The 22,320-nt window shown below is 48.7% G+C and overlaps 1 protein-coding gene across 6 annotated transcripts in view; it reads right to left on the minus strand.

Annotated features, from left to right (window-relative positions):
* The window catches only part of GSG1L (GSG1 like), a 276,187-nt gene that overhangs the window by 90,650 nt on the left and 163,217 nt on the right, over window positions 1-22,320 (minus strand). For 4 of the 6 annotated variants that reach the window (NM_001109763.2, NM_001323900.2, XM_011545751.3 and 1 more), the window contains exon 3: window positions 6,309-6,461. The exons of 1 other annotated variant lie outside the window; for it this stretch is intronic. In NM_001109763.2, the coding sequence (NP_001103233.1) occupies window positions 6,309-6,461 (153 nt within the window). Of the gene's footprint in view, window positions 1-6,308; window positions 6,462-9,882; window positions 9,981-22,320 lie in introns of those variants that run through there. One more of the 6 variants, NM_144675.3, reaches the window with a different exon arrangement.

Consider the following 22,320-nt stretch of genomic DNA (forward strand, 5'->3'; position numbering starts at 1 on the left):
CCTCCTGAGTAGCTGTGTATTAGTCCATTCTCACACTGCTAATAAAGACATACCCAAGACTGGGTAATTTATAAAGAAAAGGGGTTTAATTGTTTCACAGTTTTGTGTGGCTTGGGAGGCCTCAGGAAACTTACAATCATGGTGGAAGGGGAAGCAAACATGCCCTTCTTCACATGGCGGCAGGAGAGAGAATGAGTATTGAGCAAAGTAGGAACCCCTTATGAAACCATCAGAACTCTTGAGAACTCACTCACTATCATAAGAATAGCGTGGGGGAAACTTCCCCCATGACTCAGTTACCTCTATCTGGTCCCGCCCTTAACATGAGGAGATTATTACAATTCAAGGTGAGATTTGGGTGGAGACACAGAGGTAAACCATATCAAGCTGGGACTGGACTACAGACTCACACCACTATGCCCAGCTACTTTTTTTTCTTCATAAAGACAGGGTCTCACTATGTTGCCCAGGCTGATCTCAAACTCCTGGCCTCAAGTGATCTTCCACCTTCAGCCTCCCAAAGTGCTGGGGTTACAGGCATGAGCCATCACACCCAACCTGTTAAAGAAAAACTTATCCAAACACTTTAGGTAAAAACGGTAAGGAGGACTTATTCAAGAGGGACCACTGCCTTGGGGGCTTGCAGTAGTAGGGAGAGATTGGGCTCAACTCTGAACACAAGGACAAGTGGGGATTCACAGCCAAGGAGCAGGGTGGGGTTCACAGATGAAAATCACTATGAGGAAGCATCAGGGGTAAGGGGGTTCTGGCTAAATTGACTCAACAGGGTTTTGCTGGAGGCAGGCCAGGGTGATAACACAATCAGGGGAGAGGGAGGAGGAATTTGATCAGATATCAAGGCTGGGGGGTTTTTGATACACGGATCCAGCAGGATTCTTGCTAAAATGGGACTGAGTGGACCAAGGACAGAACCCAAGATTGGAGTCTAGTCAGAAGAAGGACTCAGAGGGACCTGATTCAAACTGGGTCAAAGGAGAGAGCCTTTATCACATCTCAGTCAATGCTGGCTATTGTGATTAATGATAATGAATGAATGAATTATAAATCAGTTGTCCTTTGATATCCACAGGGGATTGGTTCTAGAACTCCTCACGGATACTAAAATCCAAGGATGCTCAAGTCCCTGATATAATTTGGGGCCCACGCCTGTAATCTCAGCACTTTGGGAGGCCGAGGAAGGAGGATTGCTGGAGGACAGGTGTTGAAGGCCAGCCTGGGCCAATATAGCAAGACCTCATCTTCACAAAAAAATTAAAAATTAAAAAAATTAGCTGGGCATGATGTCACACACCTGTAGTCCCAGTTAGTCAGGAGGCTGGGGTGGGAGGATCACTTGAACCCAGAAGGTCGACACTGCAGTGAGCTGTGATTGTGCCACTGCACTCTAGCCTGGGCAACAGAGAAATACCCTGTCTTTAAAAATAATAATAAATTTTTTAACTTTTAAAAAATGGCTTAATATTTGCATCTAACCTACATGCATCCTCCTGTATACCTTAAATCATCTCTAGATTACTTGTAAAATCTAATACAATGTAAATGATATGTAAATAGTTGTTGTATTGTTATTAAATTTGTATTATTTTATTTATTATTTTTATTGTATTATTATTTTATGTATTATTTTTATTGTATTTATTGTTGTATTGTTATTTTTTAATTGCTTTTTTTTTTTCCCAAATGGTTTCGCTCTGGGGTTGGTGGAATCCACAGATGCGGAACCCATGGCTGCAGAGGGCTGACTGTAATTGGTTAGAGAAAGGGCTGCCCCAGTCTCTGCTTTCTCTACCAAGGCACTGACCTTGGGCTGAGCTGGTCCAGCAGATGTCAGAGCCCAACCTCTCCCCAGATAGACCTGGCTGCTGGCCTCTGCCCAAGCCTGCCTGCCAGCTCTTCCTAGACAGAAAGCAGCACTTTCCCTCCCACAGGAGCAGAGCAGAAGCCCTCTCCACCCCCTCCAAGCCCCTTACCACCTCTTGCCCTGTTTCCAAGGGGCTCCCTAAAGACCAGCCTCCCATGTCTTCCTGGCCAGACGCCCAGCTCTCAGCAGCAGCCTCAAAGTTTATCTCCTCATATTGTGTCTCTCCTGTTTATCTTCTCCTGGGCATGAATACAAAATCCTTTCTCTCCACCACTTGCTACCTCAGTCTTATTCCATCATCTGGCTGCTACATCCTTCTCAGTTACTGTTTTCTGAAGACTTAAAATCTTTGTCCTCCCGCCTGGTCACTCCTGCAGTGTGAGTCTGTGAAAAGAGCACAGGGCTTTGAAGCCAACTGGAGCTGGGTTTAATCCCAGCTCTGCAATGACCAGCTGCATGACCTTGGGCAAGTCAATTAACCTCCCTGAGCCTGGATTGTTTATCTGCCTGGAATTATGGAGACAATCGTATTTGCTTTCACAGTGGGTCTCCCCACTAGGAGGAAACCTGGCTTGGTTTATTTGTTTTCTTGAGGGTAGAAACTTTCAGAACCCCTTGGAGGTAGAGGAGAGTCCCCCACTTCCTGCCCCATGAGAAGACTGCTTGCAAGAACCGGTGTTGGCTGCCTGTGGCCAACGACAAACTTTTGTTTTGTGGCTGGAGTGAGCAGGTTGGGGGAAGAGCTACATGCTTGGAAAAATGGAGGGGATTTTTTGATGCTTGGTGCAGGGGAAGAAAAGGAGAGATGAACCTGCTGATGAAGGAGAGGGGACTGGATGCCTGCCCCCCGAGACATCATGCCCAGACTGTCTGAAACAGACTGATCATCTCCCCTCCAGCCCCTTCCACTTCTTCCCTATCTTGGTTAGATCACTGCTCACCCTATTCCAAGCCAAAGGATAGCCGAGGGATCTCCCAGGTCAGGGTCCCTCTGACCATCTGACCCCTTCTCAGAATAATGTTTTCCACTAGATAAAATGAAATACATAGTACAGAAGAAATCAATTACATTGAAATACAGCTAGCAATATATTCAAACAAATTGTTGTATAGGAATTTATGTGCCATTTTGTTAACATATGAAACGGGATTCAGTGGAAACTTTAATAAGTATCATACTTTTTTTTTTTTTTTTTTTTTGAGATGGGGTCTTGCTCTGTCACCCAAGCTGGAGTGCAGCTGTGCGATCTCGGTTCACTGCAACCTCCACCTCCTGGGTTCAAGTGATTCTCCTGCCTCAGCCTCCTAAGTAGCTGGGATTACAGGTGTGCACCACCATGCCCAGCTAATTTTTGTATTTTTAGTAGAAACTGGGTTTCACCATGTTAGTCAGGCTGGTCTCGAACTCCTGACCTCGTGATCCACCCTCCTCGGCCTCTCAAAGTGCTGGGATTACAGGCATGAGCAACCGCACCCGGCCAAGTATCATACTTTTGAAGGAGTGCATTTTGAGATAGCTGCAGCTGTGGTGAGATTTCATGAAAAGTACAGATTACTATTGGTGACTATGTCATGGGTCTCATCCCCACTACTGTGATTTGTTGGAGGAAAGCTAAATGACAGCTAATTTTATGTTAGAAAAATAAAGATGTTATTTCCCCCAACTGGGTTCATGGACCTCCTGAATTCTGTGCACTCCAAGCTAGAAACCCTTCACCTTGACTCTATTTTCCCCTAACCACCCACTCCCACCCGCCTCTCCTAACCAGTCCCCAAGCCCAGCTGACTTTACCTCCTGCACGGTGGACCTGTCCCTGCCCTCACCCATTCTCCACTTAGGCCTTGTTGCTTTGCATCAATATGACTCCTGCAGCCTCCTGGTTGGCCTCCCCACCTCCATTCTTGCTCCACTTCATCTGTGCTCCACCCTGAACCCAGAGAGATCATCCCTGATGTGATTTGGCTGTGTCCCCACCCAAATCTCATCTTGAACTGTAGTTCCCATAATTCCCACGTGTCATGGGAGGGACCCAGTGGGAGGTAATTGAATCATGGGGGCGGGTCTTTCTCATGCTGTTCTCCTGATAGTGAGTCTCACGAGAGCTGATGGTTTTATGAAGAGCAGTTCCCCTGCACATGCTCTCTTGCCTGCCACCATGTAAGACATGACTTTGCTCCTCATTTGCCTTCCACCATGATTGTGAGGCCTCCCCAGCCATGTGGATCTGTGAGTCCATTAAACTTCTCTCTTTATAAATTACCCAGTCTCGGGTATGTCTTTACTAGCAGCATGAGAATGGACTGATACAATCCCCAAATGCAAACCCGACCGTGTTGCCCCTTGCTCCACACTCTTCAGTGGCTCCCTATTGCCTATATGGTAAAATCCAGACTCTATAAAGCACTGAGACCCTCACAAAACTCTCCAGCTTCATCTCTCAACATTCCTCCTCTCCCTACTCCCAGTCTTCCCACCATTTTGAGCTATGTGAAGTTCCCAGAATATGCCGCATCATCAGGCCTTTGCTTACGCTGTCCACTCCACCTGGAATGCCCTCCTCAAGTTGTCCACCAAGCAGACTCTTACTTATTTTCCAAGTCTCACTCAAATGTTGCCTTCCCCATGCCCACCCCACTCATCCCGACTCCCTGGGCAAATGTGGGTGCCCCTCCTGCAGAGCTGTTAACACACCCAGTCCATAGAGGTCAACACACCAAGTTAGAATTGTCTGATGAATACATTTCTCCACAAGATCACAAACTTGGCCAGACGTGGTGGCTCACGCCTGTAATCCCAGTGCTATGAGAGGCTGAAGCAGGAGGATTACTTGAGCCCAGGAGTTGGAGGCTAGCCTTGGCAACATAGCAAGACCCTATCTCTAAAAAAAATTTTTTTTTTAATTAGCTGGTCGTGGTCGGGGGGATGGGGGTTGCCTATAATCCCAGCTACTCAGGAGGCTGAGATGGGAGTATCGCTTGAGCCCTGAAGGTCAAGGCTGCAGTGAGCCGTGATTACACCACTGCTCTCCAGCCTAGGCAACAAAGCAAGACCCAATCTCAAAAAAAAAAAAAAAAAAAAAGAGAGAGAGAGAAAGCCTTCATGAGGGCAAGGACTGAGTCTTTTTCCTTCAACTCCCCCAAACAAGCACAGTGCCCAGTTAGGCCTTCAGTGAATGTAGGTTGAGTAAATAAATAAAAGATGGAGGGGAAAAAAAAAAGAATAAACAAGCTCTCCGTCCTTGGACAGCTGGGGATGGGGTGCATGGGGATGGGGTACATGGGGATGGGGTGCATGGAGGCCAAATCCCACATTGTCTGTGTGTTGTGACAATTGTTCTATTTTTCTTCTTTTCTTTACTGTGATGATTGGATTTCCCACATCCTGGGGATGACAGATTGGCACATTTTGATCTGTGGCATGTGCTCTAACTTCTTGAATGCAGCTCTATTATTTGAAAGATCCCTCTGTCAAATGTACATACCTCAATTAGGAGAGATTACTTCCCTTACCAGGAGGCTCATCGTTTTGGTTTCATTAAATAGAGAGTTCTTCCAATGCGTGAAGAATAGGATTAAATTTATAGAAATTCAATTTACACTCAGCTTTTTAGGAACAAATGTCTTAAACAGCCAAGCCACTGCTCTGTCTGCCAGGCCTCCTGATGTTTTAGTTTATAGGCTTCCTTTATTCCCTTCCTGCGTAATCCCAGCTTAACCCCTGATGACCTGAATCTGCTGCAGCGACCCTGGGCACCTGCCCACCAAATCTAAGTGTTTGCTTGGAATCATCTGTCTCCATCTTCCTGAGTCCTATGATGCAGTTGACTGTCCCATTCTTCCTGAAACCCTCAAAATCGCTGGCTCTGTGGCCTTTTCCCACAATCCCTGCCCAACACACTCTTGCCCTTGAGCTTCCGGATGTGTTTGATCATTCGACTTCCCATGCAGCATCTCCACGTGGAGTTCTCAAAGCCAGATGAGCTCAGGAAGAGGAGCGACGTGCCCTCCACCCCAAAGTGGCTTCTCTTTTACATCCCAGGGAAAGGCGGCACAGTCAGCCTATTCTGCACAACCGCCTCCCTTGCTGATACTGCAGATCCAATCCATCACAGACCATGTGGTACTGATCTCCTGAAGACATCTCAAATTCATCTGCCTCTCCCTCCCACATGTGTTATGCTCCTTGAGGTCTGGGACTGCCTGCTTTTGCTCATTACTATAGCCTTAGTACCTGGTCTGGTGCTTAGCATGTATTAGATGCTCAGTCAATATGCATTGGTCATTTTTTACAAACGATAAAACTGAGGCTCACAGAAGAGAAGCAATTTGTCCAATGCCTCCCGGTTGGTACAACCAGGGCTTACTCCAAGGGCAGCACCCTTTCTCGCCTGTGCTCTGAGAGGCCACAGGACCAGCCATGCCTTACCTGAGAGCACCGTGAAGACAGCCGCGAAGGCATTGAGCTTGAGCCCGTCGATGACATTGCTGGAGTGGAAGAGCTCGAGACACATGAGGCTGAAGCCAACCACCAGCAGCAGAATGTACAGCACCTCGGAGACCACAGACAGCCACAGGACCCCTGTCCAACAGAGGCAGAGAGGCCGTGAGATGAGGGGCCACCCAAGATAGACTCACCCTGTGCCTATTCCTCCCACAACAGCAGAGGGTAGCAAGTCATTCTAGAATAGAACCTGGTTCTGGGGGAGGTCCTGATGGAAGCCTGTCATGGCCGTCCCATCCTTGTCTGCAGGGGCCGGCTCAGGGACCGAAGCTTAAGTCAGCATTCTCTGGATCCTATTACTGGGGAAGAACTTTTATCCTGTGGCTGGACCAAGGGCTCCCTTTCTTTCTCATGGATTAGATGATCACCACTGAGAGCCAGCTTGCCGCCACCAGTTTAGGGTGAAGCTGACACTGTAGACGCAGAGAAGAGTGATGGAACGATGGCCTCATCAGACCAATCACCAGCCCTCGGAGCTGCCCTGTTCTGGGTTTCATGAAATAAACTGCTGTATTGTTAGGCCAGTTAGTGAGAGGTTCTGTGTTACCTCCAACTATACATTTTGTTTTGTTCTTTTTTGTTTGTTTGTTTTTGTGGGATTTTTTTTGAGAAAGGGTCTCGCTCTGTCACCCAGGCTGGAGTGCAGTGGTGCAATCACGGTTCACTGCAGCCTCAAATTCCTGGGCTCAAGCCATCCTACCACCTCAGCCTCTCACGTAGATGGAAATATGGGAGTGCGCCACCAAACCCAGCTAATTTTTTATTTTTTATAGAGATGGGGTCTCGCCATATTGCCCAGGCTGTTCTCAAACTCCTGGGCTCAAGCTATTTGCCTGCCTCAGCCTCCCTAAGTGCTGGGATTACAGGCATGAGCCACCACACCTGGCCCACCTGCAGCTCTAAGTATGCCACCTCACACACACAGCAGGCTTGCCCTCAAGGGTCACCTACACTTTTATCTGCCCTGTATCCTACCCCACATTTTTTCTAGAACCCATCATTGCTACTCCCACACTTCAACCTTGTGGTTCTCCCAGTCAGCCATGTTCTGGTGAGGTCCTGCCCTCCTGGCATAGCTGATTGGTCCAGTATGATTATCTGACTTATAACTGACCAATCAAAGTCTTCCTCTAGGAACCTGCACTTAGAACCACTGAAGTAGACCAGGAAAGAGCAGTTCAGATGAGAGTCTGAGCATTCTGACCACATGAGCACCTGGTTCCAGCTGTTCCTGAAGACCACCTGCACTCCTGTCCTTCCAGGAGTTTGGCAGTTCAAATGTTCTTTGTATTCCCTGAGATAGCACAGCTCCCTTTTCCTACAAATTTGTCCAAATTGGATTACCATCATTTGCCATCTAGTTTAGGGAGGATCTGTTGTTTTTCCTACCCATATTATAATGATTCCTGCATGCTTTTTGCCGGGAGAGACTCTCTGTCTACATGGATGCTTTGCAGCTGACCCACATCTGGGCTCCATGATGGGGACATGACTCAGGTCTAGCCAGTCAGAGTGCCATGTCCCTCCAACTCCAGTCATTGGTTCAGGAGTGAACTTCTCTATGCCTCAGTTCCTTCATCTGTAAAATGGGGGTAATGGCTGGGCACGGTGGCTCATGCCTGTAATCCCAGCACTTTGGCAGGCTGAGGCAGATGGATCACTTGAGGTCAGGAGTTCGAGACCAGCCTGGCCAACATGGTAAACACCCATCTCTACTAAAAATACAAAAAGTAGCCGGGCGTGGTGGCATGCACCTGTAATACCAGCTACTCGGGAGGCTGAGGCAGGAGAATCGCTTGAACCCAGGAGGCAGAGGTTGCAGTGAGCCGAGATAGCACCACTGCACTCCAGCCAAGGCAACAGAGCGAGACTCCGTCTCAAAAAATAAAAAAATAAAATGGGGGTAATAACGCCTGTCTTGCAGTGTTGTGGTGATGTGAGGATTCGGTTGCACAGCAATGTAAGGAGCTTATAAATAGCACATAGTAAGAGCTCAAGTCATTTGTACTATTACAATTTTTTTAGAAGAACATAATGGGGATATATCTAATGGAGACTGGAAATACAGCCCAGGGGCTCTTGACGAGGTCAAGGCTAGAGATAGAGTCAACAGGGAGAAATGAAATTGTGAGGGTACATATGATTTCTGAAAGAAAAAGTAGCGAATAGAAGATGGAACTAGGAACACATCCCCATGGCTTGCCTTCCAGGTCACACTAGTCATGTGGTCTCCCAAGACCCACACTTTAGAGAAGGAACTACGGACCAGGCATGGGCAGTCAGACATGGACCCATGACCCAAGTCTATTCAATGAGACTCAACCTCAGGACTTTTGCAGGAACTACTGGGAAAGAGAAGCTCTCTGTCTCTTTTCTTTCTCTCTTTCTTTCTTTTTTTTTTCTTTTTCTTTCTTAGACAGGGTCTCACTCTGTCACCCAGGCTGCAGCACAGTGGTGTGATCATAGCTCCCAGCAACCTCCACCTCCTGGATTCAAGCAATCCTCCCACCTTAGCCTCCTGAGTAGCTGGGACTACAGGCATGCACCACCATGCCCAGCTTATTTTTATATTTTTTGTAGAGATGGGGTTTCACCATGTTGCGCCGGCTGGTCTCAAACTCCTAAGCTCAAGTGATCATCCTCTCTCAGCCTTCCAAAGTGGTGGGACTACAGGCATGTGCACCATGCCCAGCCCTAGAAGCCTTCTATTTCTACCACGTTTGAGGCTAGAAGGATGTAAAGATGGAATTGACTGAATCACCAGACAGCAAGAGCCTTCCTGAGAGTGAACCCAGTGCCAAGAGAGGCAGAGCCAAGAGATGGAGGAAGATTGCGTCCTGATGACATTGTTTGAGCCCCTAGATCCAGCCATGCCTGAGGCTGCCGGTCCTTTGTTCTTTCAATCACGTGAACCAATTAATTCTTTGTCTTTGCCCATGCCAGTTTGAGGAGAATTTCCATCACAACCAGGAGTCCTTATCTTCAGCTTTTCTTGTCAAACATGTCCTTTTCTAGCTCTCTGCCTTTGCACAAGTTGTTCCTTCCACCTGGAATGTCCCGGGGACATCCAAGAAATACTATTTATCAAATAAAACAAATAAACAGAAAATTCTGAGTCCCCACTTGCTCCCTGATGAAGAACCCAGATGCTGAAACACCCACTATCATTCCTAGCGCAACAGTGCTTTTAGAGTTTCAGAGAACTTTTCTTTTCCTCTTCTTCCCTTTTTTTCTTTTCTTTTCTTTTTTTTTCTCCTCCCTACCAAAATATCACATCTCCTGGGCAATTCCTTGGATTGTTGTAAGAGAATAATGTGCTCTTGGCAGCCTGGATGTTGTTAAAACACCCCCTGGCACCGCACACTCAGAGCCTCCCAGCCCTTCGCTGGCCCAAGGGCCACCAGGCAGCGGGGAGCAAAGCAGGAAATTCAGAGAGCGCTGAGCCTGCAGGAGGGTGGCCGCCCCCAGGAGGTTTCATCCCCAACCCAACAGTCTTTACCTCGGAGATGCTGATGCTCCTATCGCTGGGTTTCCAGCCCCTGTTGGTGCTGGCAGGGACTGCCCCTCATCATGGCGCTGCTCACTGACTCAGCTGCCTCCCCCACGCAGCCCCCACACCCCAGGGGGTGCGTTCAACCCTGCCCACGTGGGCCCCGGGCCAGGACGCTTCCCCCGCCCCTCTCCTCACAGCAGGGCCCAGCTCTGCTCTTTCAGAAGTGATGGGAGATGGGCCAGAGCTTGGAGGTGGGGATGCTCCGGAAGTAACTTAACCATGGGGAAATAGGCACGGGTACCCCGATGCCTGGCGGGGTTGTGGTTCTTTCTTTCTTTTCTTTTCTCCTTCTTTCTTTCTTTCTTTCTTTCTTTCTTTCTTTCTTTCTTTCTTTCTTTCTTTCTTTCTTTCTCTCTCTCTCTCTCTTTCCTTTCTTTCTTTCTTTCTTTCTTTCTTTCTTTCTTTCTTTCTTTCTTTCTTTCTTTCTTTCTTTCTTTCTTTCTTTCTTTCTTTCTTTCTTTCTTTCTTTCTCCGTCTCTCTCTGTCTCTCTCTCTCCCCGCCCCCCTTTCTTTTCTTTCTTTAAGACCGACTCTCACTCTGTCACCCAGGCTGGAGTGCAGTGGCACCATCTCAGCTCACTGCAACCTCCATCTCCCAGGTTCAAGCAATTCTCCTGCGTCAGCCTCCCGAGTAGCTGGGATTGCAGGCACCCACCACCATGCCCGGCTAATTTTTGTATTTTTAGTAGAGATTGAGTTTCACCATGTTGGCCAGGCTTGTCTCGAACTCCTGACCTCAAATGATCCACCCACCTTGGCCTTCCAAAGTGCAGGGATTACAGGCCTGAGCTGCACCCAGCTGGCTTGTGCTTAGATAGATATAGATATAGATATAGATATAGATATAGATATAGATATAGATAGATATACAGATATATAGATTTTTTTTGAGACAGGATCTTGCTCTTTGTCCAGGCTGGAGAGCAGTGGCATGATCATAGTTCACTGCAGCCACTAACTCCTGGGCTCAGGCCATCCTCCTGCCTCAGCCTCCGTAGTAGTTGTGACTAAAGGTAAGTGCCACCATGCCCAGCTAATTTTTTTATTTTTTATTTTTGTAGAGACAGGGTCTCACTATGTTGCTCAGGCTGGTCTCGAACTCTCAGCCTCAAGTGATCCTCCCGCCTCGGCCTCCCAAAGCGCTGAAATTATAGGTGTGCCCAGCCGAGTTGTGCTTTTCCAGCTAGATTGCTAGATTTATTTCCTTATCTTCTTACTGGGCTCGGGAGCATCCGTCTGAGAGTTTCAGCCCACTCCAGCCAAGGAAATTAATAACAATAACGATTGTTCTTGTCGTTATAATTGTCACAATAAGGGCTGACAGTTATGAGGTCTTTATTATGAGCCAAGTCAAAAAGGAGGATGTTGATGTCCCGCCCAATCTCCTAGGCTCTCTTTTTAGAGTTTCTGTCTTTGGAGGATTGTCTTTGGGCAACCAGAGCCCATTTTTTCTATCTTTGTTCAGAAAATGGGAACTTATATTTCTCTCTTAGCCGCCATCAATGCATGACTGACCAGCAGGGTCCTGTCCTGTGGCTCTGGCTAAGACAACTCTGAGCTGTGACCCACACTACAAAGCCCCCATGGGGTCAGACTGGCCTGACAGCACCCCTTGCTTTCTGTTCTCCCTTCCCTGTCCTACAGCTTCAATTCCCTTACCAGTCTCCCCAGGGAGCATTTCCTTCACCAATGACTTTGCACCCAAATCCTCATCCTATGCTGCGCCTCTAGATAATCTGATCTTAGACACAAAAATTTATGTGGATTATATCCCCGAATCTTCCTAACAGCCTGCAAGGTAGCAACGTATCACCCGTTTTGCAGACAACAAAACTCAGCTTCTGAGGGATTAAGCAACTGCTCTATACACCTAGGTAGTGGCATAGTCTAGATTCAAACTCATGCCTCTCTGCCTCCAGGAACCATGGTCAGCAAGGAGGCTGTCGTCAGGACAGAGTGGCCACTTGGAGACCATATTCTCCCTCTGTTAGCAGGTTGTTGCCACCGGTCTGGCTGTGGGGCGTAGGATTCCCTAGTCAAGGCTCTTATTCAAGATATTCTCTGGAGTCCCAAGCAATTCTGGAACCAGGTGTCCAGAAGAGGACGGCCGCTGAGTGGGATGGAATGGCCCTTCGGTTCTCAGGGATGCCATACCAGCCAGCCACCAGGCATGATGGGGAAGGAGGTCACAGGGTAGAGAAGGCAATCTGGAGGATTCTTGGAAGCCAGGTTGGGGAAGCTGGACTTGACCTGAGTTCAGGGGCAGGTGAGGGGCTTAGCCAGGGAACTCTGTATGCTGAGAGGAGAGTGAAGAATGGATGGACAGGATGGAAACAGTTCTTGGAGGCTTCCGCTGCACTCCATGCAAAAGATGACGGTGGCCTGGACTGTGGCCACAGTGGGAATGAGGACAAGTAGATAAACTGATAACCCCTGAGGGGTGGACTCAGTGGGCTGTGCACCTATGAACCTGGTGGCAAAGGAGAGGGAGGAGGCCACACTGGTGCCATGTTCCTAGCTTGGACACGTGAGCAGATGATGGCATTCTTCACTGAGTGTGGAACAGTGCTAAAGCAGGAGGACAATGACATGCAGAGCCTACATGAGCCGTGGAACATCCAGAAGGAATGTCCATGAGCTGGAGCTCAGACAGGTGGGGGGCACTGGCAAGACTCAGCACTCCCTGTGTATCTGCTGTGATTGTCAGAAGGTAGTTGGAGTCAACAGGATGCCTCTGAACACATGTGGGAAGTGGGATTCCAGGGGACATCAATACTTAAGGGGAGGGAGCAGTGGCAGGGGGCTGTGGAAGTGCGGCAGACACAGCCGGTGCGGTGCTCCCAGCCTGCCCACGGCCCTTGGGGGCACATTTCCACCTGCTGGCGCCTGTGTCTCTCTGCTTGGGGGCTTGCCCTGGCCACCAGAGCCCACCTCCACCCAGCTTTGAGACAGGCTGGACATGCCGGGGGACGTACACCAACCTGCCCCCATCCCCAGAAGCAGCCGTCCCCCCGTGCCAAGTGTAAGCTGGTGAATAAGTCCCAGAAGCTGGGTGCCACTGGGGGCTGTGAGCTACGCATTCCTGTTTCCCACCAGGGGACGAGTGCTTTAAAGTGGTGTTGAATCACAACGTTAAACTGTCAGAACCAAAGAGTGAAAAAGTGATTCTCTTTTCCCTGATTTTTAGCATTCTTATTACCTCAATCAAAAGAATCTCTGTGTGGTGCTAATAGGTCCTTAACACCTTTCTAACACTTGTCAATTTTTTAAAGCAAAGACAAGGCCGGCCTCAGACTCAGAATCTTCCATAGTTTCTAGCCATACTGTGTAACTTTTTTTTATTATTTGTTATTATTAATTATTCATTTTTGAGACAAAGTCTTGCTTTATCACCCAGGCTGGAGTGCATTGTGCAGTGGCTGGATCATGGCTCACTGCAGCCTTAACCTCCTGAGCTCAAGCGATCCTACCGCTTCATCTTCCCAAGTAGCTGGAACTACAGGCACTCACCACCACAACCCACTAATTTTTAATTGTTTTGTAGAGACAGGGTCTCACTATGTTGCTCAGGCTGGTCTGAAACTCCTGGGCTCAAGCGATCCTCCTGCCTCAGCCTCCCAAAGCACTGGAATTACAAGCGTGAGCCACCGTGACTGGCCTCAGATTCTCTTAACCCTTCTCACTTCTCTGTAAGGAGTTCTTTCATTCAAGTGTCTTCACTTGAACTATTTGGGGGATTCTGTTTTCTGCAGGTACCGTCAGTGACAGATCTTTTTTTTTTTTTTTTTTTTTTTTAATGCAAGGGACTCTGATTTCCAGTGAGAGTGGTGATCTAAGCCAGTGGTCTCAGCACACACTGAGTGCCCCACCAGCACCACCGGACTCACCTGGGCACTTGTGGTGCAAATTCTCCGGCCCCAGCCCAGACCTGTGGAATCAGAAACTCTGAGAGTAAAAATCATTCTGTTTGAATGGGCCCTACAGGTGATGTTGATATGCAGTCCAATTTGAGAACCAGGAATCTAAAGTCCCATTTTTAAATGTACATGTAAAAAATGAGGCCGAATGCAGTAGCTCAAGCCTCTAATCCCAGCGCTTTGAGAGGCCGAGCTGGGAGGATCACTTAAGCCCAGGAGTTCGAGACCAGCCTGGGCAATATAGGGAGACCTCATCTCTACAAAAATTTTAAAAATTAGCCAGGCATGGTGGCGCGTGCCTGTAGCCCCAGCTACTTGGGAGGTTGAGGTGGGAGGGATCACTGGAGCCCAGGAGGTTGCGGCTGCAATTAGCTACGATCCTGTCGCTGCACTCTAGCCTGGACAACAGAAGCGAGACCCTGTCTCAAAAATAAAAAAAATGAGTCACCTTGGCCGGGCTTGGTGGCTCACGCCTGTAATCCCAGCACTTTGGGAGGCCGAAGCAGGCAGATCACCTGAGGTCAGGAGTTTGAGACCAGCCTGGTCAACATGGTGAAACCCCGTCTCTACTAAAAATACAGAAACCCCGTCTCTACTAAAAATACAGAAATTAGCCAGGTGTGGTGGTGTGTGCCTGTGATCTCAGCTACTCGGGAGGCTGAGGCAGGAGAATTCCTTGAACCCGGGAGGTGGAGGTTGCAGTGAGCTGAGATCGCGCCATTGCACTCCAGCCTGAGTGACAGAAGGAGACTCAGTCTCAAAAAAAAAAAAAAAAAAAAGTCACCTTAAGGAAAAACTAAGTCAATGCTAGGAAAGAAAAGTAGGTGTTGGCATCAGGCAAATAAAAGGTGGTATGGGAATAATTAAACATTCGGGAACCAATGCAGAATGCCTGGCCTGTGATGAACACTCACTTTTCTTCTTAGTGCTGTGGAATGCAAGCTCGCGGAAGGACAGGAAGTCAGAACAGACCAGTCTCTCAGCAGGCCCGGCAGAGCCTCGCCTTAGTGATGCCGGGAAAGCCTCCATAATGGTGGGGATGATTGTCCCAAGTCTCCGAAACTTGCGCTAATGGTTCAATTTGCGGCAGAGAACAGGTGACCTCCAGGGGGCAGAAGGAATGAAATGATTTCTCATCAGGTGTGGGGCCAGGAGTTGACAACTGATCCTGTTAGCTGCACTCTTTGCCTTTTTAAAAAACAGCTTTGTGATGCCAACTCTGACCCTTCATTGCTGGGATTGATGGGTTTGCAGAAATGATTTCCCATTTGCCTTGGATCCCTCCCTTGCTGAGAGAGCTTCCAGGGCCAGATCCTTGACTGAGTGAAAAAACATAGGTGGGAACTGTGTCTCGGCTGTGTGACATTGAGTGGTCCTCTGCCCGTAGGGTTCCTCATTCCTAAAATGGGCATAATTGACTTGTTGCACGCAGTAAATGAGACAATACCTGTAAATCACACAAGCCCGACATTTGGAAAGAGTTGAAGAAAGTTAAGTATGACTATTTCTTGCTAATAAGTGTCATTATTCACAACTATAATAATTTTTCCTTTTCCTTTTTATTTTTTTAGAGACAAGGTCTCAGTCTGTCACCCAGGCTGCAGTGCAGTGGCACAATCAAGGCTCACTGCAGCTTCAACCCAGGCTCAAGAGATTCTTCTGTCTCAGCCTCCCGAGTAGCTGGGACTACAGACATGCACCACCATGCCCAGCTAATTTTTTATTTTCATTTTTTATTAAGACACAGGGTCTCACTCTGTCTCCCAGGCTAGAGTGAAATGGCACAATCATGACTCACTGCAGCCTTGAACTCCTGGGCTCAAGCGATCCTCCCACTTCAGCCTCCCAAGTAGCTGGAACTACAAGCATGCACCACTACATGCAGCTAATTTTCTTATTTTTTCTAGAGACAAGGTCGCACCCTGTTGCCCAGGCTGGTCTCAAACTCCTGGCTTCAAGTTATCCTCCAGCCCTGGTTTCCCAAAGTGCAGGGATTATGGGCATGAGCCACCAACCCTGGCCAGCAATTGTAATAAGAGGTGGTAAGGCACTGAGAAAGATTGAGGACCTGGACCAGGTGACCTTAGCTCCATCAATAACTAGATGTGAGACTGGGAAAAGGATACATCGCCATTGAACCTCAGTCTTCTCATCTGCAAATTGGGCATACATGAAGCAGCCAGCCCATGGACTGTTGTGAGGATTAAGTGAGTTAATTAATGAGTAAGTGCTTAGGACAACACCTGTCCTGTCTAAGGTGCCCATTAGCTGTTACCGTTGTTGTTATTCCTAAAGGGAAGTAGCCAAGGAGGATTAGGAAACCGGAACAAGTGCATTATCAGCCACTGGACAAATAAAACCTTTATGAGGATCAGAGGGGAATTGTTGCAAAGTCATATGAAGTCTCAAGACACAGTGGCCTTTCAAGAGAAAACACCTTTTTTCTCAAAAAATCCATCAGTTTAATACATCAAATCAATAAGGCACGGCGCAGTGGCCGCTGGCTGTGAGATGGGTGACAGGCCCCCTGATACCGAGCATGTTGAATCATGTAGATGATGTGGACTGGGACCTCGGGGGCTGGCAACGTCTCTGTGGCAGCTGCTGTTTGCAAAATGTCAATATGGGAAGCTCAGAGGCAGGGATGTACCGGCGCTGGGAGGAAAAGGCCAGAGGCCATGGAGAGCTGTAGGGAGGGACTTCTGGGGTCACTGAGCCCCCAGCCCTTGTTCTACAGATGAGAAATCTCAATGCAAAAAGGAGTCAGGACTTTCCCATGTCACAGAGTAAGTCAGGAGCAGAGTCGGGTGGGAGGCACTGTTCCACCTCCCAGGCTATTTCCTGTTGTGTGTCTGGGGGCAAGGTTGGTTCTATTAGAGGCATGAGGATTGAGGTTCGAGGGGGAAAGGGCTGTCTGGAAGAGAGAACTACAGTGAGACCAACAGATGGTGGCTCCACTGTACATCAGCAGCCCTGAGTTCAAACCCTGATGCTACAAACCTCGGGAAGGTCCCTTTGCTGCTGTGAGCCTCAGTTTCCCTCTCCGCAGAGTGAGTAGATTCTCAAACAAGCTGCCAACAGGCTGAATCCAGCCCACAGAAATGTCTTGTTTGGCCCACACAGTATTTTAAAAATATCTGAATTCATTATCAACATTTAAAAATAGGAGGCTTCACATTAAAAAAATCCAGATTTCTGGATTCGTTTGCAAAATGGGCAAATGCACAATACTGGAACTGCATCATCACGTGATGATGGCTGTGGGGCTGAGCTGGGGCTGCCCTCCTCAGACAGGGGACACGGATCCCACCCGGTGCCCCTCAACCCTTCATGCGTCTTGCCGGGCTCTCAAGAGCATTCGAGTTTCCAGCCTTGTCTCCCTATACGACGAAATCAGTCATTTCTATCTCCGATACTGCAGCCGTGCAACATTTTAAGACCCTGTATGGACCCCTGATATCTACAGATAGGGGTGAAATATCCTGCAAACCTTTCCCCATGGTCCAGGGTTCTAACAAACACCACACAATCCCATAACTCAATTTTCAGAGTTAGAGGAAAAGGAAAGACATTCAGCTCAGACGCCTGAATTGACTTTCTAAGCCAAGGGCATGGATCTGACAGCTGTTCCCGAAAGTTCTCTTGTCCAGCCAGCCCCAAATCCTTTCCAAAAAGTCCCAGAGAGGGCGAGTGAGTTGCCCAAGGTCACGACGCTCACTCGGAATCTTCCTTTAATAAGTCCGGAAAGCTTTTATGCTTTGACTCCAGGTCATAGTAGAGACCCTCAGTGGATACTTTAGTGGGATGGGCAAAAAGGTAGGGCAACAGAGCACGTGGGGATGTGATTCCATTCCGATGCCAATCGGCATGCTACCGTGGAAACACAGGCCTGGAGATGACTGTTTTCTGCATAACCATCTTGTCTAGAGTCTCAATCCTCAAAGGGAGGTCTACAAACCAGCAGCGTCAGCATTCCCTGGGACCCTGGAGAAAATATAGAATCTCTGGCCCCTCCCAGACCTACTGACTGAAGACCTGCATTGTCATCAGGTCCCTAGCTGACTCCAAAGCACATAGGAGTGTAAGGAGCACTGGCCTAGGGGGTCACTCCAATGGGTGGGGCATGCTGGAGGCGTGCGGGAAATGAGATGTTCAGCCTGCAGCTGTACTTCCTTCTGGTGGGTGCTCAGGGTGGAGATGGGCAGGACTGCTTGGGAACCATGTGTCAAGGGCATTGAATGCTGCACTAAGACATTTGAATGTGACTAAGCCCCTGGGGCTGGCTGAATAAGGGCTCTCAAAGGTGTCCCCTTCCTAATCCCTGGAAGCTGTTCACTTCCAGGATACGTTACCTTGCATGGCACAAGGGACTTTGCAGACATGATTAAGATCTTGAGATGGAAGGATAAATAGCTAATGCACATGGGCCTTAATACCTAGGTGATGGGTTGATGGGTGCAGCAAACCACCATGGCACACGTTTACCTATGTAACAAACCTGCACATCCTGCACATGGATATTGGAACTTAAAATTAAATTAAATTTTTTAAAAAGTCAAAGGTCGAAGGCATAGAAAAAAAAGATTTTGAGATGGGGAGATTATCCTGATATCTGGGTTGGCCCAGTGTAATCACAAGGGTCATTATGACAGGGAGACAGGAGGGTCAGAGACAGAGAAGGAGATGCAATGGGAAAAGCAGAGGTTGCAGTGATGCGGGGCCATGAGCCAAGGAATGCAGGCGGCCTCTAGAAGACAGAAAGGGCAAGGAGACAAGTTCTCCCCTTGAACCTCCAGAAAGGAACACAGTCCGGCTGACACTTTGGTATTTTGTTGTTGCTTTGTTTTGTTTGAGACAGATTCTCGCTCTGCTGCCCAGGCTGGAGTGCAGTGGCACGATCTCAGCTCACTACAACCTCCGCCACCTAGGCTGAAGCGATTCTCCTGCCTTAGCCTCCCGAGTAGCTGGGATTACAGGCGTACACCATCATGCCTGGCTAATTTTTGTATTTTTAGCAGAGACAGTGTTTCACCATTTTGGCCAGGTTGGTCTCAAACTCCTAACCTCAGGTGATCCCCCCACCTCGGCCTCCCAAAGTGCTGGGATAACAGGCATGGGCCACCACGCCCAGCCAACACTGATTTTTAAGTCTCATCTTGGAATTCTGACCTCAAGAACTGTGAGATAAATCCATATTGTTTCAAGGCACTAAATTCTAAATTTGTGGAAATTTGTTACATCAGCAAGAGGAAACTAATACACCTCCTTTTTTTCTTCTTCCTTTTTGAGACAGGGTCTCGTGCTATCACCCAGGCTGGAGTGCAGTGGTGGAATCACAGCTCACTGCAACCTCCAACTCCTGGGCTCAAGTGATCTTCCCACCTCAGCCTCCCAAGTCTCCAGGACCACAGGCACGTTCTATTGTGTCTGGGTAATTTTTTAAATTTTTTGTAGAGATGAGGTCTCACCCTATTGCCCAGGGTGGTCTCAAATTCCTGGCCTCAAGTAATCCTCCTCTGTTGACCTCCCAAAGTTTTGGGATTACAGGCATGAGTTACCATGCCCAGCCAACTTCCTTTCTTTGTTCAAAATCACTTCCTCCCCGAACCACCCTAGCCCGCACTGTGGCCCCCACCATGGCCCCTAGATCGACCTTAGCAAAGAAGGAAGCTTCTCTACCACCTCCACAGAGATACCTCGCTGTGGTGGGGTGAGCCTGGACTTGAGGTCAAACAGACATGGATTTGACCTTGGCCTTTTCCTAACCTCTCTGAGCCTCAGTTTCTTTGGCTATAAAACAGAGTCCACACTACCAATCTCACAGGATTTTCTGGGCAACTTTAATGAGGGAATGGCTGCAAAGCCCCCATCTAGTTCTTGGAGCATTCTAGGTCCTCTGTAAACGGCAGCCTATGAAGCTGATGGGCTGGGCCCAGAAAAACAAGTCCTTTCTCCTCCACACTCAACAACTGAACAAACTAGTTTATCATTGGAAAGGATTTTGACAATGCCTCTGGCCCCTAGAGTTCCACAAGCCTCCAGGCCTTGTCAGTTCAGAGACGTCTCTGGCAGACGTGCCCTTTAGAAATGGCTCTTTTGGAATCTGGGGACAGTTGCTGAGCCTGTGAGATATGTCACGGTGACCTTGGCCTTCAGAATCAGATGACAATTATTTTTCTTCCCCTTCAGAATTCAGCACCTGACTTTGAAAATAAGCACTGGCCCACACAGGCTGGGGGCCTGGAGATGGGTAGTAGGAACCTGGTGGGAAGAACTTTGAAGTCCAAGGTAGAGATCTGGCCCCAAAAGCCCCACCCGCCCACCCACCCCCTGCGAGGTCTTCTTGGGCAAGTCCTCTCATCTCTCCAGGTCTCCTTTTTCCCATCTCTAAAAGGGGGCTGCTGTGAAGGCAGAAGCACGAGAAAGGGGAAGGGAGAAGTCACAAACTGGCTCAAAGACAGGTTTTTGAGATTTTTTGTTTTGTTTACTGTTTGCTTTGTTCCCTCCCCTGTCTTCCTCCTCCTCTTCCTCCTCCTCTTTCTTCTCCTCTCTCTGTTTCTCTCTCCACTTGACCTTAGCCAAAAGGCCAAGAAGTGATCTCTCTCTATCTCTTCTCCCTTTCTGCCTCTCTCTTCCTCCCTCTTTCTCTCTCTCTCTCTCTCTCTCTGTCTCTCTCTCTCTCTTTCTCTCTGGGTGTGTGTGTGTGTTTCTCTGTCTCCCTCTCTCTTGGTACATGTGATATTTCTAAAAATTTGAATTAGATGTCATGCCAATATTTAAAAATGGGAAAATCACAAGAGAATCTAGATTCTTTTGAAAACATGGAAGACCAGGGCCATATTCCCACATGGAAATAGTGGCTGGGCAGAGTGGCTGCTGCTCCCTTTACCGAGGGCAGGTGCTGTCTAGTTTGCTGCAGTCCTCACCCCTCCCTATTGTTTGCCACCACAAAGGCTGAGGGCTACAGCCCAGGGAACCAGCTCAGCGTGCAGGCAGTGAGAGGGAAGAAAGTGTGCAGTCAGGGAGGACACAGATGGGCAAGGCTCGGGGAGGAGGCTGGCATGGGAGGCCAGGAAAGGCCCTCCATGGGAAGCGCCCCCAGACATCTGCTGATTCCCGTCACCTGCTGCTACCCTTGAAAACACATCTGTGAATATGATCTGGGACTGCTCAGTCTGGAACATAGCGGAGAAAAGCAGGAAAGCATTTACCCGCTGCGAGTTGGCAGTGTAGCCCAGTGTTTAAGGGCACGGCCTGGGGAGCCAGGTCACCTGCAGGCAAACCCCGGCTGTGCTAGGGACTTTCTGTGTGGCCTCAGACAAGTTACCTCGCCTCTCTGAGCCTCGATTTCCTCACCTGACTCACAGGTGAGGAATTACATGAAACAGGTAAAGAGGCATCACTGGCTGGGCACAGTGGCTCGTGCCTGTAATCCTGGTATTTTGGGAGGCTGAGGCGGGAGGATCGCCTGAGCCCAGGAGTTCAAGGCCAGCCTGGGCAACACAGTGAGACCCTGCCTCTACAAAAATTTAAAAAATTAGCCAAGTGTGGTGGCGTGCACCTGTGGTGGTAGCCACTCAGGAGGCTGAAGCAGGAGAATTGCTTGAGCTCGGGAGGTTGAAGCTACAGTGAGCTATGATTGTACCACTGCACTCCAGCCAGGGTGACAGAAGGACACCCTGTCTCAAAAACATAAATAAATAACAACAAGACACGTGTAAAGAGGCATAACCCAGGGTTCACTCCCGATAGACTTCAATATGCTAGCTGTCCCCATTTTAACAGAGGAGAACAGATTCTGTCTTGGAAAGAACAAAGAAAAAATCCTCAGCTGCCTCAAGCCTGACAGAGCCAGACTGAGTGGGTGGTGGGGAGGTACTGTCCAACTGGGTGATGTGGATTCCACATTTGCCCAGGATCTCAAGACCAGGCAGGCTTCAGCCTCCGCTCCTTGCCTCTCTGCACCTCCGTTGCTGAATCCAGGGTCCCCTGTGGCCTGATGGTACTCCAACTCAGTCTCCCCATCCTGAGCACTAATGCAATTGTCCTTCCTCCTCAATCTCACCTGAAAAACAGCAGTGACTGCACAAACCCAGACACTGTTTCCTGGGAATGCAGACAGAACAGGACTTGGATCCAGTCCTCCAGGAACCCCAAATTGAACCTGCGGGGTGAGACACACACCCAGTGACAACCACGCTCTACAGCACCCACGGAGGGCCAAGCACCGAGCTGGCACCCTTTTGACAAATAGAAACTCAATTCATCTCCACAACCACTCTATGCCTTGGGTGCTATTACCATCTCCACGTCATGGAGGTGAGGAAGCTGAGGCAGGTGAAGAAGTTAAGTCCCCATCCCAGGGCCATAATGGGCAAGTAAGTGGCAGAGCTGGGGTTCAGAGCCTGGTCAGCCCAGCTCCCATGGCACGAGAAGCCCAGCTGGCCTCAGAGCACCTCCCTGATGC

The sequence above is a fragment of the Homo sapiens genome, chromosome 16, assembly GCF_000001405.40.
Source record: "Homo sapiens chromosome 16, GRCh38.p14 Primary Assembly".
Classification (NCBI taxonomy): Eukaryota; Metazoa; Chordata; class Mammalia; order Primates; family Hominidae; genus Homo; species Homo sapiens.